The sequence below is a fragment of the Homo sapiens genome, chromosome 20, assembly GCF_000001405.40.
Source record: "Homo sapiens chromosome 20, GRCh38.p14 Primary Assembly".
Classification (NCBI taxonomy): Eukaryota; Metazoa; Chordata; class Mammalia; order Primates; family Hominidae; genus Homo; species Homo sapiens.
This window is the reverse complement of record NC_000020.11, coordinates 25,035,312-25,052,351: the sequence shown is the minus strand read 5'-3', so window position 1 is coordinate 25,052,351 and position 17,040 is coordinate 25,035,312. Positions and strand designations below refer to the sequence as shown.

Here is a 17,040-nt window from a genome sequence, read left to right as displayed (position 1 = left end):
GGAGTTTCAGCTACACTTTAAATTGCCATGGGTCCTTGCCCAACTCTTCTTGGAAATGCTGAGAAATGGAATTTTCTTGTCTCACTGCCCATTTCTTTGGGCAGATTTTTTTTTAAACTTTCTTTTCCTCCTCCCTCTCTTCCCCACTTCCTTCCTCCTTTCCATCCTTCCTCACCTTCTTACCTCCTTCCTCCCCCTCCTTTCTACCTTTTCATCCTGAAATTGAAGCACTAGCAGGAACCATAACTATGTGCGAAGAGCCATGTGCACATGGGTGTTAGGGCCACTGTCCCCCAAACCCCACATGGAGCTTTCTTCAGGTGCCTGTGTGGTCTGAGCACCAGCCATGGTGGCCAGAACAAAGATGGGGGAGGGTTGTTCTGTTTGCCTTCTTGGGGGACACCTTGACTCCATCTGACCCACAGCCAGAAACAACCCAATGGCACCTAGTCCTTCCAGTCCCACCCAGACCAAGGATCATTATACCCACTCCAAGGATTAGGAAATGGGCTTGGATTAAATGATATGTGCATTGTCTGTGGTTAGTGAGTGGCTGGACAGGGGCTGGACTTTAGACCCTGAGTTTTTAGTGGTGACTCCAGGCTGCCAACCAGTGGCTCATGAGGCTGGCAAGTATGTGTAATCACCCCTGTCCCAAAGGAAAAAGAAAACCATTGGAAATCTTGCATCTGCATAGAAAGGGGATGTGCATGTAGGTCCATGTGCACACATCGTCAGAGTCGGGTCCCAGGACCAGCAGCGGCTGCATCACTAGGATCTTGTTAGAAATGCAGATGCCCAGAACGGGGACGGGGCACACTGGCTGCAGCTAACACGTCCTCTGGGGACTTCTGATGCCACTCAAGGTTGAGAAGCACTGATTTGGGCCAAAAAAGAGAATGTCTTCTACTTAAGGGATGAAGCCACAAAGACAAGAAGAGGTCTGCTCCCTCCCTTGGGCATGAGGGGACCACCTGGTGCCAGTTACACCTCAATATGACCCTTTGGCTCGAGGACGCAAGTGGTCTGTTCCTCAGCTCTGTGCTCTGGACCAGGCTACCTGAACCCAGACCTGAGCAGGACACTCAGCCCTCGCCCTAGGGAGCGCAGCAGGCAGTGAGCATCTGGAAGAGTTGGGGGATGCGCAGGGTCTGGGACAGTGAGGTGCTCGGGAGAGTGAGCGCCTTGGGCTGAGAGCTGCAGTGTGGGTGTGAGGAGGGCACAGTGCCCCAGGCAGGGAGAAGCCACAGCAAAGGCCTGAGGGCAGGGGAGCTCACCAGATGTGGCCCGGTCAGCAGGGAGAGGCAGGTCATTGGGGCCTTGGTGGCCACTTTTTGAGCACCTCTGCATGTGGCGAGGCACCTGGGGGACACTGTGTTTGGGGCTCTGTTCTGATCTGCTGGACCCAGGCCACCTGTCAGCCCTGGAAAGACAGGGACACAGGGCTTATCTCACGGGCCACCCAGCCGCACCTGGGTGCTGTCCATCCTGGGGCTGGCCTGCCCCTCTCCACCTTCCTCACCTCTGCCTTCCTGCTTGGTATAAAATGGTGCAGGATGTCCTGCTGGGCTGGGAGGCTGTGAGGGCCTGTTTGAAGTTGGGCAGTCACTGTTTCTGAGAAGAGTGTCCTGGTGCCCTGGCTGCTGTGGGAGCAGGTGAGGCGATGAGATGAATGCCAAGGCGAAGTGTCCAGCGTGGTTCGAGCCCTTCCTGCTTCATCTTGGCTGGGGCCTTGGGCAGGTCACCAGGCCATGCAGAGGGCGTTTGCTCATCTACACCTGGGCAGGCCACTCTTCCGGGGGGCTCCAGGGTCAAATTTGGAGTGGAGCAAGTATGTCAGGCAGAGCTTTTCAGATATGAGAGTGGGTTCACATCTCCTGGGGCTTCTTATGAGGCTGGTTGGGACTCAGCAGGTCTGGGTGGGGCTGAAGATTTGCATTTGTGACCAGCTCCCGGGGGGGATGGTGGGTGCAGACAGTGTCGATCCTCAGCTAGACATTCCCAGGCTTGTCATAGCATCATAGAGTCACTGGAGGTGACAGGCAGGCAGCGGGGTGTAGGACTCTCTGTGTAGGGATGGTCTCCTGCTGATTGTTCAGAAGCCAGAAGTCCATGGCTTTCATGTGAAAGCTCTCGATTTTTAAATATTGGACTGGACTCACACACGCATGCCTGCACACCCTGGTCAGGGTGGTTAGCACAACTGTATGCTGGACTCAGCCTAGGGACCACGTTGGCTAATATCTGCTGTACCCGTGTATTAATTTTCTCCCTGGCAGTTGTGTTGTTTTTCCATCTCCTTCAGGGTTTACATGTTCCTGTCGCCTGCCTGAATTGGCCTCACTATTCTTCTCAACTGTTCTGTCTTCCGTCTGTAAGACCAAGCCTGATTCATCCCTCCTCCCCAATTCCCCCACTACCGGCAAAGCTCGCTTCCCTCCCACTTGTTGCATAGAGCAGTTCTTCACCGCCTGGTGAAGAACTGGACTGTTACCGGGGGACTTTGGAGGGTGGGGCGGTGGGACAGACTGTGGAGCCAATCTGCCTGCGTTGAATCCAGCTCTGCCTCTGTGTGACCTTGGCCAGGCAGCTTAACTTCTCGGGGCCTCTGTTCTCCCATCCATAATGGGAGATGCTGGTGGTGCGGGCGCTGTCTCCGTGGAGGCTCTTGCAGTAATTATTGTTTCAGCCCCAGGCTGCTCTTGACTTCCCAGGGTTTGCCTTCCCAGGGTAAATTCAGCTCCAGTGCCCTGTTTGGACAAGTGTCATGAGCCTGCCGCCACCGGCCTTGTGTGTTTGGTCACTTTTGCATGTTTCTTACGTTTGCATCTGTCTCCTGCACCCATGGCAGGGGCTTCGAATCTGCCCTGGCATTTCCCTCAGTGTTCAGTGTGGGGCCTTGATCAGGATTGGCACCCAGGACTGGTTGGGTTAAACCATCTCAGGGTTGTATGCTCCTTCTTTTTGCTCCTAAGAGACTCCCCAACACCCAGCAAAACATTGTGGGGTTAATGCTACACTTGGCATGACCACAGTGAACAGAGGTTAGCACCCCCAGCTCCCCAACACACACAGAGATGTTGTGTAAATTCAGGTCTGCCACTGATCCCCTTCTTAGTTTGTCTTCTTGTTTTTATTTTCTTCTATTTTTTGGGCATGTCTTCTCTTTTATTTTTCTGTTAATAGTAGTTCAAAGAACTTTCCTGTGTCTCTTACTAGTATTAGTAATTTTTTCCTGGAATCTGTCTACATTTGTTACATTTTTTGAGGTGTAATTTACAAACAGGCTACAGGGGTGACCCTGAGAGACCAGGTGGGTGGGTGCTGCTGCCCCCAAAACCATTCATGGGGCTCATGTCCCTGCATACCTGGGGACCCTCCGATAAGCCAGTGAGTGAGGAGAGCTGGCTTGAGGGTTGCCAGAAGGGGCTCAGCTTTGGAATCTAATGAGTAGTGACCAGCCTGCCAGCGGAGGGGCCCCGTGCTGCTAATCCTCAGTCTCACGGTGTGCCACAGAGCTGTTTCTGCCGGAGGGTCATGTGTGGGAGCTTGGGTAATGGAGAGGGAGGGAGCAGAGCCTTCTGCAAAACCAGGACATTTCCCCATCACGAGCCACTTCTTGGAACAAGGCTGGTTTACTGGGTGCTCGTGGAACACGTGGGGGAGTTGGGTCCTCGTCCCTTCTTGCACCTTTAACCTTGGGGGCAGGTCAGCACTGGGCACATGGGAACTGCAGGAGCCAAGCCCTGAAACAGGAACAACCTGTTTGCACTGAGTGTTCTTTCCAACAGCTTAGGCTGCAGTGCCCAGCCCTGGCTGCACATCAGAACCAACCATGGGGGCTTTGAGGCTTTGAAGGCCCAGGACCCATTGGATGGGGTCTCTAGGGGTGGCCCAGGAGATGCCAATATGCAGCCAGGGTTGGGTCCACTGGTGTGAAGCAACCACTTCAAAATATTTGCAGGACATCACCTTGTACCTCTGAGATCATGTTTGTTCACCCTTCTCCTTGCAAGGGGGTAGAAACATCATCACTGATGAGGACAGGGTCTCTGTCAGTGGAAGAAGAGAGAGCCACAGCAAACTAGACCCGCTCCAACCCCTCAACCTGGCCGAATTCTCACTCAAAAAGCACCAAGTGTAACATCCGCAAACCCTCTTTTTGTACAGTCAACTGCTTGGACCAGCATGTTCGGAAGTCCCCCGAGAGCGTTGCTTTGATCTGGGAGCGCGATGAGCCTGGAACGGAAGTGAGGATCACCTACAGGTACTGTGCCCTCGAATGTTCAAGGTGCGAGGGAGGCGCCCAGCCCAGTCCTGTGTGCTGAGTCTGGCTGTCAGGGAGGGGCCGTCTGAGTCTCAGGGAGTGCATTTTGGCTTTGCAAGTGCTCTCTTATCCAGGAAAAGTAAATGTGAACGCAAGCAGAATGAAACACAGTAAAAGCCGGTCTAGCCTGCCTGGCCACACTCTCAGCGCCTTGTGAGGATGGGACAATAAATAAAATCATCTTTAGTAGAGTTGTTTTGTTTTTAAGCTGATCTTTTTAGTCTCTGATTCCTTAAGCAGATTCTATGTGCCAAGCATGCTTCAGATGCTGTGTGCTTTGGGCGGTCTGCACTGGCCTTCCCCAAGCTGCTTCCTGTAGGGGCTGCTGTGTTGGTGCAGCACCTTGGTTCTCCATGCAAACCCCGTTTGCCTGAAGCTCACCTTACCCTTACAGAGATGCCTCAGGCCCACTGTGCCCCTAAACTGTGAGTTCCTAAGTCCCCATCACACACAATCATCGAGCGTGATTACTCTCCTGGGGGCAGCTCCAGGGTCTTCTTGTCCAATTACTTAGCAAGTCTTCACTGGGTGCCTTCGTGTCAGTATGGGCTGCAGTATGTTGCAGTAACAGACAATCCCCAAGCACATGGCAGAGTGTGGCTGGGTGGCCACTGTGAGCTAATAGTCAGGAAGGCCTCTTGGAGGAGGCAACATTCCAGCTGAGGTCCTGTGGGCCAAGAGGAGCAGCCCTGAGAAGACAGGGGCAGACCTGGTGCAGGGATCCCAGAGGTAGAGGGAAGGTGCATGTGGCTGGGACACAGGAGCGAGGGGACGTGGAGGAGGAGCATTCCGACAGGCAGGTCCACACTGGGCAGCCTGAGAGCAGCGGTCACTGCCCTGCCACTCGGGTGACCTGGGGGCGAAGGGGCACTTGTAGTTTCCTGTTTGTTTCTTGAACTCCAATTTTATCACAGACCAAATTCACCAAACCTGCTAAAACCGTGCTCATGCTGACTTTTGGAGGCAGACGAGTGATGCTAGTGGATCTGCTGCGGCTCCCAGTGGGCCCTGTCCTGCTCGTTCCTCCCCTCGGCCCCCAGGAGCCCTCAGGCCCATCACAGCTCCACCAGCCTCGGCCAGGGCTCCTTTGCTGACCCGTCTCCCCCACCAGCCAGACTCACAGCCTATACAGCACGCATTTCTTATCTCTAGTCCCTGGTTGCAGATGCCGTGTGGCCCATAGGCCAGCAGCATTCTTCTGCCCTGGATCCTCGGGCCCCACTGGACAACTGAGCGGCCCCCCAGGTGGCCCCTGCACACTGGAGTGTGCTTGGCTCTGAAGACCCAAGCTGCTGCAGCTGCCCCTCGCCACGGTGGGCCCAGCTCCATCTGCCTGCGAACAAAGCCCCTTCTGAGAAGGAACTTGAGGCTGCTGCCCCTGGAGTAGTTCTTCAGTAAAAGATGAAAACCCTCTGTTGGGGGTCGGGGGCTAAGGAGCTAACTGGACACCTGGAGGTCCGGCAGGGAGGGCCCAGCCATGGCACTCCCCGAAGGGCCAGTTTCTCTCCATCAGTCTCTCAGGTGTGCCTGGACCCTGGGGCAGGCAGGTTGTGTGCCACGCCCCCTCGGCTGGACGCTGCCCGTGGGAGCACTGAGTGTGTGCTAAGTAGCGGTTCGGTCTGTGAGCGGGGCTGGAGCCCTGTGGAGACGTGTGGTTAAACATAAACCATGTGAGAATTCTCAGGACCACAGCCAGCCTGTGGAAGCTAAGGACAGCTTCAGGTCCATGACACTGAAATGGCCCTGGCAAAGTACTTATTACTCTGTCTCTAAAAATAAACAGGGGCCGGTCGCAGTGGCTCATGCCGGTAATCCCAGCACTTTGGGATGGTGAGGATCACTTGAGGACGGTGGGTGGATCGCTTGAGGTCAGGAGTTTGAGACCAACCTGGCCAACATGGTGAAACCCCGTCTCTACTAAAAATACAAAAATTAGTTGGGTGTGGTGATGTGCGCCTGTAGTCCCAGCTACTTGGGAGGCTGAAGCAGGAGAACTGCTTGAAACTGGGAGGTGGATGTTGCAGTGAGCCAAGATTGTGCCACTGCACTCCATCCTGGGTGACAGAGTCAGACTCCATCTCAAAAATAAAAATAAAAATAAAAATAAATTGACTTCTTCTAAAATGGTTTGCAGACTTTAGCCAGGCTTAGTACCAGGTGACCATTTCTATTTACTGTTTGAGTGAAAAGTGTTACCTGTAATTGCAGCTAGTATTTGAGGGATGTGAGTTCCTCATTGTCCTGGTCAGGCTAGGTTTCTGATGTGAGGTTTTCTTCTTCCTTTCTCTGAGGAAAGCCCCTAGACATTGGCACTGGTTGTCCTCCTGACAGACACATCACTGCCACTGAACACAGTGCTTTTCTGCCCATGGGCCTCGTGCCACAGCACTCGAGGTGCCTAGGATGGTTGCAGGCCTCCTCAGCTGGAAGATCAATGTCCAGACTAGCAGCCTGGGCCCTTTAAAGAAACCCCGTGGGGCTGGTAGAGGTTGGGACGCTGGTGCCGATGCAGGAAGCTTGCAGGGTGTGAGGAAGTCTGTGTGTTACAATCCCAGGTGACCTGGCAAGGGAAACCTCCCGACTCTGGTCCCCACCGTGACCTTAGGCACAGGTGACGCTGGGTCAGCACAGGCAGATGCAGCCCTGGGACGGGTGCCCATGGCCTTTACCCTGCAAGTGGAGGATTTGCAATCCCTGCTTCCCCAGGTCCTCTGGGGTGCAGGGTCAGCAGAAAGAGGCCCGTTCTAGTTCTAGTTCAGTACCATCCTGCTGCTGGCCTGTGACCTTGTGCAGCTCCCTAATCTCCCCGGGTGTGACTTTCCCATCTGTACACCCAGGGTAATTATCACAATGGAGATGACTGTAAAGTAGGCACAGGGAGATGACAGCCCGAACGCACTAGCAAGTAAGAATAGCCGTGATAATGATGTAGCTGCTATTTATTGAGTACTCACTGGATTCTAGAGCTGTTTTCAGCATTGTAACTGGGCAGCGAGGTTGGACCTCGTGCTGGCTGGCTGCAGGGCTTGGAGAGGAGGACCCCCTCCCCTGCCGCGGTTTTGCCCCGCTTCCTCCTTCACAAATGCAGTCCTCAATTCCCACTGGGAGGTGAAGGGCTCAGCCTGGGACGTGTGCACCCATCTCCCAGGGCAGTCTGCCACCCGACTCCAGGGTCCCAGCTCCATTTCCAGCCTTCCTCTGCCCGGAGCCAGCTGAGGCAGCCCTTCTCCCCTGGTGAGCCAGCAGGCTGAAAGCCCAGAGCAGGACAGTGCCTGCCAGAGGCTGTAGGCCTAGTGGCCCCAAGGCTGTGGGGCCAGGCAGCACTCTGGGACGGCAGTGGCTCTTTCTGGCTGTTTACCTGCACTTCTCCAGCAGGTGCCCATTTTATTTTATTTTTAATTATTGATTTTTGAGGCAGGGGCTCAAAAATGTCACCCAGGCTGGAGTGTAGTGGTACTGTCACAACTCACTGTAGCCTTGACCTCCCGGGCTCAAGTGATTCTCCTGCCTCAGCCTCCCAATAGCTTGGTGTGTGCCACCAAGCCTAAGCTTTTTATTTTTTGTAGAGATGGAGTCTCGCTATGCTGCCCAGGTTGGTCTGGAACTCCTGGGTTGGAGTGACTGCCCACCTTGGCCTCCCAAGTACTGGGATTGCAGGTGTGAGCCACCGCGCCTGGCCGGTGCCTGTTTTAGAAGACTGTCCTTCACACTGTAGTTCACATGGGCAGGTTCTAGAGACCCTGGGGGGTGGCCATGTGGAGAAATGCAAGTTCCTCTCTTTCGGAAAAGCGGTGGCCCAGGTAGATGAATGAGGCTTTGAGATGGCTGCTGCCTAGCTGGTGTGTTTCTCCCTGCCTGGAGCCTGGAGCCTGGGGTCTGGGCCAGGAATTCCCAGGCTAGGGTTGGACTCCAGGTGCAGGAAGCAGCCTGAGGCCCTGTGCAGGTCCAGATCTTCTCAGCCAGCAGGGTATGCCCCCACACAGAGGAGAGAGTGGACTGTGGGTGCCAGGCTGGGGGTGCCTGCAGAGCCTCCAAATCAGTGAACCTCTTCTCTGAGGGTCTCTGTAGGGGGGTGTGAACTTAAACTTGAACTTAAATGAGAGCATCTTAAGCCAGAGGACCAAGTTTTAGCTCCGGCTTGTCCTATGGCCTTGGACCCATCCCTCTGGGCTTTGGTGTCCTCATCTGTAAAAGGAGGGATTCAATGGCCCCAGTATTCCAGCCCTGGCAGGCGTGCATGAAGCACGGAGGAGCAGAGCTGGGCCCCGAGTCTGTGAGGAAGCACAGGCATCGTGTGCCACTCTGGGAGCTGTTCCCCCGTGGAAACTCCTGCTGGTGGGGGTGATTTCTGTGGCTGTTCCTTCCTGGCCTTTTTATTGGGTGGGGTCGTGCACAGTGAGAAACCCCTGACCAGAGAAGCAGAGGGGATGTCAGGCCTCCCCCAACCCCACCTACCTCAGAGTCCCAGGAAGCTGAGGGAGGTTTTCTCCCTGGGTGTGCTGTGCTGGGCTGGGCATGGGGCTTTACTGCGAATCTGTGAGGCCTGGCACCTGATGCGGAGGCCTGCAGGGCTGTGCATGACAGGGCCTGGCCGTTCACCCTAGGCAGAGGGAGCTGCCACACACTCCAGCTGTGGTGGGGTGGGGACTGAGCCTGGGGCCACCTCTCTGAGAGGCTTGTTTCTGTTGTCAGCCCTGGATGTCTTCGAACACAGCCATTTAGGGAGGTCACAGAAGTGGCTGGTCCCTTGGGGGGAGCAGGAAGCAGGAAGTCCTGTCACAGACACTTAGGTGGAGAAGGCTTTGTGGAGGGTTGAGTTTTGAGAGGCAGAGGAAGGGGAAGTGTGGCGAAGGCAGGAGTGGGGGACTGGTGAGGACATGGCACGGGGAGGAGCCAGGGTCTGGGAAGTGGTGGAGGCGGGAGGCTGTGCCCTGCCTGCCCTGTCCCTGGCAGGGGGAGGGGCCAGGGCCCAGGACCTGGTGGAGGCAGGAGGCTGTGCTCTGCCCAGCCTGACCCTGGCTGTGGACCTAGAGCCTGTCACTCCACCTCTCCCACCCTTGGTTTTCTCATTTGCAAAATGCAGTCACACTTCTCCTCCACTGGGCTGCTGGGCGTGGAGAGGGGCATGTGGGATGAAAACCAGAGGGGTGTCTGGAGGATGAGGGTCCGTTTCAGCTGCAGGTCAGGGCCAGGTGAAGGAAGGCCAGCAAAGGGTTTCAGATTTGAAGAAGGGCAGGACATGGGTGGCCCCATGGCTGCTGGGGCCGAGAGTGGGTGGGTGGTGATTTCAGGGGTGACGGTACTCAGCGGGACTTTGCCTGGGAGGACACGTACATCAGCTAAAGTGTGCCCCCTCCCCATGTCCCTAGTGGGTGACCCTTGCCCCTTGCTCTTCTGCTCACCTCCCAAGTTAATTACCCTAGTGAGCACACTCCCTTATTAAAACATCAGGGCAGCTGGGGGAGGATCCTAACTCACGGGAGGCTGTGGGGGAACAGCCTCGTTGACCCGTGTGTGACACAGCGGCTGTCGTGGAAGGCAAACTCGGTGTGGTCTGTGGGGCTCCCATGGTGGGGTGAGGCGTGGAGTCCCGGCCTAGCTGCCCCACCTGAGAGGAGGGTGCCCGGGCAGCCTCTGAGACTTGGGCTGGGACCCTTGGTCTGGAATCTGCACGCTACAGCCAGAATCTGATAGGATCCCATGTTACTCGGGGTGGGCTGTTTTTGAAGCAGCATCCACCTTTCCTCCAGCCCCAGGCTGCGGCTGCTGCCACTGGAATATTTGGGGTCTTCCTACGCACGCTGCCTGTGCTCCCTTGCGTTCTCCTGGGTGCCGAGGTCCTGGCACGTCGTAGTTTAGAGAGGCCCCATCTTCAGACTGCAGCACAGTGACCCACACTGAGGGAGTTTATGTCCACAGAGACCTCTTTGTTGGGGACAGGACCTTTCTGAGAATTCTCTGGGGCGACCACAGGCAATTCTAGGCCAGCGGGTGGGTTGTGGAACCTGACTGGGCTGACACCTGGGCTCCACAACCCACTGTTAGGGCAGGAGGATCCCACCTGTACCTTCTTGGATCCCAGGCCACTCGAATGGAGTCTGGCGTCCTTCCTCCTCATGCAGGTGACCAAACCCTCAAAGTCACTCCAGTGTGCAAAGGCCTTTGGCCACCACAGCTGTTCAAAATCTGCTGTAACTAACAGGCTCTGGTCTTCACCCTGATGTATTTATTCCACCCACGGTGGCCCATCTCATGTGGATTCCCAGTAGGCCAGCCCGTTTTCAACAAGAACAGTCTTCTATCTTCACATTAGAAACCCATTAGATTTTTGGACTTCACAACTAAATTGTGGGACAGTTTTCCAGGCTAACATTTTGTATGGTTTCTGGCATGTTTTCCCAGTGTGAATGGGGCCACTTTTGTGGAAGGGCTCCCCTCCCAAAGGGGTATTCTGCCTGGTGCAGATTCCAGCATCCCTGGGGTAGTGCCTTTGAACAGGGATGAGCTGCAAGGCCACGTGCGGTGGCCTGGGGACAAGGGCTGCCATGGAGAGTCTGTGGGCGTGCTCTCAGCCCGTGGCCTTATGCCCGGGAGTACGGTGCCATCTGTGGAAGCCCAGCCGTGAGCTTATGCAGACCCTCCATGCCATCTTAAACCCAGGGTCAGAGGGAGTGTGGCCTGGAGGTCACACGGGGTGGACTGAAAAAGCTGCATGCTTTTGCTTCTCACCTTCCTTCCAAATTAACAGGTTTTTTTTTTTTTTTTTTGAGACGGAGTCTCGCTCTGTCACCCAGGCTGGAGTACAGTGGCGCAATCTCGGCTCACTGAAAGCTCCGCCTCCTGGGTTCACGCCATTCTCCTGCCTCAGCCTCCTGAGTAGCTGGGACTACAGGCACCTGCCACCACGCCCGGCTAATTTTTTGTATTTTTAATAGAGACGGGGTTTCACCGTGTTAGCCAGGATGGTCTCAATCTCCTGACTTCGTGATCCACCCGCCTTGGCCTCCCAAAGTGCTGGGATTACAGGCATGAGCCACTGCGCCCGGACAAATTAACAGGTTTTTATTAGCAATTACTTATCCTTAAATGAATAATTATTCAATAAAAGGAATGAAATCATAAATTATTAACAATTATTGTTTTATAAAGGGGAAAATTAGTTCAAGTGAACTTTAAGGGTGGCCTGGGGTGGGGCATCTGGGCAGCTTCTGGGGTGTGGCTGCAAAGATAGAGGAGGAGGCTGCCCCTGGGGCTGGGTGGTTTGGGTATTGGGGCTGCAGGCTCCCAGGCTGGGGCTAGTGTCAAACGGGCTCCGTGGAGCAGTTGTGTGTGCATATCTTCCTTGTGCAGTCAGTCCTATCAGGAGCCGAGAATCAGCGGTGGAAATATTTGCACCATGATCACTGGCAAATGTTATAAGTCAAGGCTTCTTTTGCAGAGAAACTGGCTGTTATCCAGCACAGCACTGGGGAGCAGGAGCCTCCTGTTCTTTGGAGGAGTTTGATGCTTCTCTAGGCTGCTGCCAAGAGGCAAGGAAAGTCGCTGGGCCCGAGGCAGGTATGCCAAGTGGCTGTGCTCTCTGGATTTCCACCTGTGTGGCTGTGTCTGTGAACTTCCCCTCCAGGGCTTACTCTCCTCCAGGTGTTAATCTGGAATGTTGTGTGGACTCCCAGGAAAGCCTGATAAATAGAAGGACCCCCAACCTGCGTCCAGGCTCTGGAGCGTTCTGTGTGAAGTTGGCTGCCCTGTGTTGTGCTGTGTCTGTGGCAGCCGAATGGGCTCTGGTAGAGCCATTCAGAGAGACGGAACAGAGGGCATGTGGGGTGTGCAAACTTGGAGTGGGACCTGAAAAATCTCCTGTGGTTTTTTTTTTAACCACAGGGGAAAGTGAATGTTTACAGAATGTTAAAACCTACACCCCTTTCCAAATTCCACAAGGGAAAGGACTCACTTCTGTGGCTTTCTCCCAGGAGGTAAACAAGTCTGTCCAGCCAGGGGCGAATGTTCTGCCAGGGCACCAGCTGTTCTCGGGGCTGGCTTCCAGGACTCCAGTCCCCCAGTGTGCTCTTGTCCTGGGCTGCCAGCCTGCAGGAGCTTCCAGAGTTCTTCAGGCATTGACACCTGGTTCCCGCAGTCATGTGAGCTGGGCTTTGTGTCTGGAAGGGAAAGAACTTCCTTTCCAGAGACAAGACTTGGGCCAAAGGCCAAGTGCTGAGGTCGAAGGGAAAACCAGGCGTTAACAGGAATGAGGACAGAGCTTCTCTGGAGTCTGGCCTGGTACTTTAGTCCTACAAGGCTTTCTTAGAAGCTGACTGCATCCTGGGCTCTGGTTAGAGGAGAAAAGAAAAACTAAGGATGTGGGATTTGACCTGCCTGTGCCTGGGGAGGCATGCCCTGGGCAGGTGGCCCTGAATGAGGAGCCAAACACTGAATGATGAAGGAAAACGCCATTCCACACCCACCCTCGGCCCTGTCCTCCATTCTGGGGACAAGAAGAAAGGCTCAATTGAACCCCCATGCGTGTGGGGACTTTGGGCACTTCTCTTGCTAACTTTCCCTTTTGAATGAGAATCAGCCTCAGGTTCATTCTTAGAATAAATTTATATTAAAAAAGTGAACTAACTCAAGAAAAATGTTACATGAATAATTATAGCATTGGCAGATGGCAAATCTTTTGAAGTTTGGGAGCCTTTGCAATAGGAGTGGTTCTGATACTGAGGAGCTGGCTGACAGCAAGGCCCCTGGAGCTGGGCCTGGGTTTGAATCCTGCCCTGACTCCTTCAGCTGAATAGCCTTGAGAAAGTGGCCCAACTTCTCTATGCCTCAATTTCCTCATCAGGAAAGTGAAGAAGGGAAGGGGAGCTCAGAACCTATGGGCTGTTGTGAGGGTTAAGTGGGTTCTCCATGGGAACCTGCTCTGTGGGAGCAGCCCTGGGTACAGGATACTTGCTTGATAGCTGTTCTGTCCTTGTTCCATGGGATGGGGCTGTGAACTGAGGGTGGGGTGAGGACAAGTGGGAGGAGGGGCAGGGGAGGGAATACCCCCTGGATGCAGAGGAGGTAGGAGGCCATGGGCCTGGAGAGGAGGTTTCCTGTGCTGGCAGTGGCAGGCAATCATGGCTGGAGAAGCTTGGGTAGCCAGCAGGGGGGCAGTGACAGGACGACATGGCAGATGGTGGTAGGCTGTGCAGAGCATGTGGGGTGGAACTGCCTTCCCTCTGGCCTTTTGGAAGCACAGGCCTCGGGCTGAGTGCCTGGAACCCCCAGACTGGCAGCAACCCCAACTGTAGGAGGCTCTGCATCCTTCTCAGATCTACTCCCGCCCTCAGCACCTGCCTTGGGGGCATGGAGCAGGCAGGCTGTGCAGGTGAGGGCTTCCTGCAAGGCATTCACACAGCTGAGGTGCATGTGCCCTGAGCCGGCGACACGGAGACTGCAGCTTCCATAAGGCAAACCAGCATTTTGCACCTGCCCTCCTGAGAAGGAGGTGCCTGAGGTGCCCACCTTTCTTAAAGGTCCATCAGTGTTCAATAATTCTCTTTTTCCCATGTCTTGTATTTTCTGCAGTCATTATGGCCACTGTTTACAGGTCACCTTCAAAGGTGCCTGCAACTTCATATTTGGTCTCCACGACCACCTTGGTAGTGGGTCCTATTATTAGGCCATTTCACAGATGAGACAGTTCAGGCCCCAGTGGTGTGGGGGGCTGTGTTGGGAACCCTGCTCTCTGATCAGTCATTGTTTGGCCTCCCGTGAGACTCCTGAGTGATAAACTTGCAGGTTCAGCGCTTTCCACAGAGTCTAGCAAAACCTCAGGGAAGAGACTTTCACTTTCCATAAGGAATTTAGAACACACATAGCTTTAGTGATCTTGTTACTGGCTGAGCTGGCATCACTACTAGCAACTCAGCTCATGTCTCCTGGGGGCCCTCGCTGTGCCTGGGCCCGCCTTGGCCCAGGGGACCATTCATGTTCAAGTGCGGCTGCCACTTTATGTTTTCACGGCAGCTTCTCTTTGCTAAATGTCATGGTCATGACATCAAATAATGACGTGAGAAATTTCATACTTGGTTTATGAGCCCTGCTAGCTGACTTCCTGGTCTTCTGTTCTCTCAGCAGAGTGAGCAAATCTTACCACCATTGAATGACAGTCAGTGGCTACAGTAATGTCAGGGCCAGAGGAGGCTGCCAGGAGGGAAGGAGTCTGTTCCCCAGGCCTGGGTCCATGAGATGCGAGCTGGCCATCCATGCTTTGCGTGGCCTTCCACGCTCCTCCTGCGTGAGAAGGGGTCAGCCTCGCCAGGCTTCCCTTCCCTAAGGCTGATCCTTTCTTCTCTTACTACGAATATGTTCCTGACACAGCATGCTGAAGAAAATATCAAATTCTAGAGACAGCATAGGAATGTCCTTTCAAGTTTTGGATCTAGACCATGGAGTTGGCCTTCCCCAGCCCCCATCAGCACCGGTGCTTGGAGAGAAGTGACTGAGCCTGAGGAAATGCTTTGTGTCTGTCAGAGGCCTTCACATATCAAGACAATTACCTGGGTTTACTTCCCTTATTGGCAGAAGAAAATGAAACGTTTCTGTAGGCTGGTTTCTCAGAGGGGGTCCTTCCCATTTGCTTCTCAGAGCAGCAGCACATCTTCATGCCAGCGTGATGCAAGGTGACAGCAGCCTAGCCCCTCAGGGGAAGGAGGACACAGGGTGTCTGCAGGGTGGGTGTCGCTCTTGGTGGAGGTCCTTCCCACTTCATGCTCACCTGCTGCGCCCATTTGCTCAACAAATATTTATTGAGTACCTTATATGAGCTAGGTGGATGCCAGGAGGAAGGCAATAAGCAAAACCCAGATCTCTACCCAAGCAGACCTTGTACTTGATGGACAACAAAGAAGTCTGTTAGCTAATGTTTATTTCATGAATACTGACTGCCAGAATAATTGTAAGCAATAAACAATCATGCATTCTCAATTTCTTTCTTTCCCTCTTTCTTTCTTTCCTTCCTTCCTTCCTTCCTTCCTTTCTTTCTTCTTTCTTTCTTTTTCTTTCTTTCTTCTTCTTCTTTTTTTTTTTTTGACAGAGTCTAGCTCTGTCACCCAGGCTGCAGTGCAGTGATGGGATCTCAGTTCACTGCAATCTCCACCTCCTGGGTTCAAGCGATTCTCCTGCCTTAGCCTCCCAAGTAGCTGGGATTCAGACATGCAGCACCACGCCTGGCTAATTTCTGTATTTTTAGTAGACACAGGGTTTTGCTATGGTTGGCCAGGCTGGTCTTAAACTCCTGACCTCAAGTGATCTGCCTGCCTCAGCCTCCCAAAATGCTGGGATTACAGCTGTGAGCCACTATGCCCAGCCTTAATTTGTTTATTTCTTAAACACGAGAGCACACACAGGACTTACTTATCCTGGGCCTTCATCAGGAAATGTCTAGGAGGAAAAGACACTTTCAATATTAACCGTGACAAAACTAGCTCTGATTGAAAGACAGATGAAAAAATAAATACCAGTGTATTTCTTCCTCTCTTTTCTCTGAACTCTGTTTCCAGCTGTTTCCTGTTTTGGACTAATTTTAAATTCTGAGGCGGGGGGTGGGGGGCAGGGGTGCAGTTGTACCGTCTGAGTTCAGGCAGTTATCGTGTTGGTCACAATTACTTGCAGTCAGATTGTATCTTTAGCATTGGATAAAAGTTATTCCCAATTGATGTTAAGAGTTGGTAATAAGTCTTCTTCCTTCCCCAAGGCCAGTCAGCGTTTTCCTAGTGTTAAGCACCAGGAACACAAGGCCACATTTGTATTTTTGTGCACATCATTTGCATACGTCTGCACCAAAAGCTTGACCCGGCAGAGTACACTGCAGACAAACCTAAATATCCTGCTCAGTACCTGAACAACAAGTGTTATATTTCTTCTTGGACTTAAAAGTAAAACTCTAACTCATTTTAGTGACTCAGAAAGCTGCATGTCCCCGTGCTTTGGAAACCCACTAGGGTGCTACATAAGAGGATCCTGCAGGTAGTGAGGAAGCCACTGTTTCCTGCAACTGTAGCCCAAGGCACCAGTCACTGAGTGGCTGCATTATCTTTCTGATACAGAAACAGTAACATTTCGGTTTGTGGAAGTCTGAGAAATTATGAATATCCAAAAACATGCTTTCAAATGGTTCCTGAGTACTTGGAATGGCAGGATCACTTACTTGAACAACATTTATTTTTCAATGATTTGAAGACCTAGGTTTGCTGACCATATTTTCCAATAATATATGTCTGGAGGATATTACTAATGAAAAATGAGAGTTTAAACTTAAAAATCCAGGCTTCAAAAATTGGCTGGGTGTGGTGGTTCATGCCTGTAATTCCAGCACTTTGGGAGGCCAAGGCCAGTGGATCACTTGAGGTCAGGAGTTCAGGACCAGCCTGGCCAACATGGTGAAACCTGTCTCTACTAAAATACAAAAATTAGCTGGGTGTGGTGGTGCACGCCTGTAGTCCCAGCTACTCAGGAGGCTGAGGCAGGAGAATCCCTTGAACCTGGGAGGTGGAGGTTGCAGTGAGCGGAGATGGCACCCCTGCACTCCAGTCTGGGTGACAGAGTGAGACTCTATCTCAAAAAAAAAAAAAGTCACCTGGAAAGATGGGGAGAAATTGAGATAGAATTAGATTGGGATAAATGGAAAGCCTGCTTTAAAAAAACACAAAACATTTCCATGGCCATAATAG

General features: G+C 53.2%; 1 protein-coding gene across 5 annotated transcripts in view, besides 3 other annotated features; it reads left to right on the top strand.

Annotated features, from left to right (window-relative positions):
• ACSS1 (acyl-CoA synthetase short chain family member 1) overlaps positions 1–17,040 on the top strand; it is a 51,903-nt gene that overhangs the window by 5,788 nt on the left and 29,075 nt on the right. For all 5 annotated transcript variants that reach the window (XM_006723659.2, NM_001252675.2, NM_001252677.2 and 2 more), the window contains exon 2: positions 4,171–4,267. In XM_006723659.2, the coding sequence (XP_006723722.1) occupies positions 4,171–4,267 (97 nt within the window). The remainder of the gene's footprint in view (positions 1–4,170; positions 4,268–17,040) is intronic.
• Positions 8,967–9,116: an enhancer, noted in NCBI's record as "active region_17658". NCBI's record gives its function as "activates an Ori minimal core promoter by ATAC-STARR-seq in GM12878 lymphoblastoid cells {active_cell/tissue: GM12878}" and the evidence as "EXISTENCE:reporter gene assay evidence [ECO:0000049][PMID:35858748]".
• Positions 9,267–9,326: a silencer, noted in NCBI's record as "silent region_12738". NCBI's record gives its function as "represses an Ori minimal core promoter by ATAC-STARR-seq in GM12878 lymphoblastoid cells {active_cell/tissue: GM12878}" and the evidence as "EXISTENCE:reporter gene assay evidence [ECO:0000049][PMID:35858748]".
• Positions 15,665–15,959: a silencer, noted in NCBI's record as "tiled region #14776; HepG2 Repressive non-DNase unmatched - State 7:EnhWF". NCBI's record gives its function as "represses a minimal TATA promoter and a strong SV40 promoter by Sharpr-MPRA in HepG2 cells {active_cell/tissue: HepG2}" and the evidence as "EXISTENCE:reporter gene assay evidence [ECO:0000049][PMID:27701403]".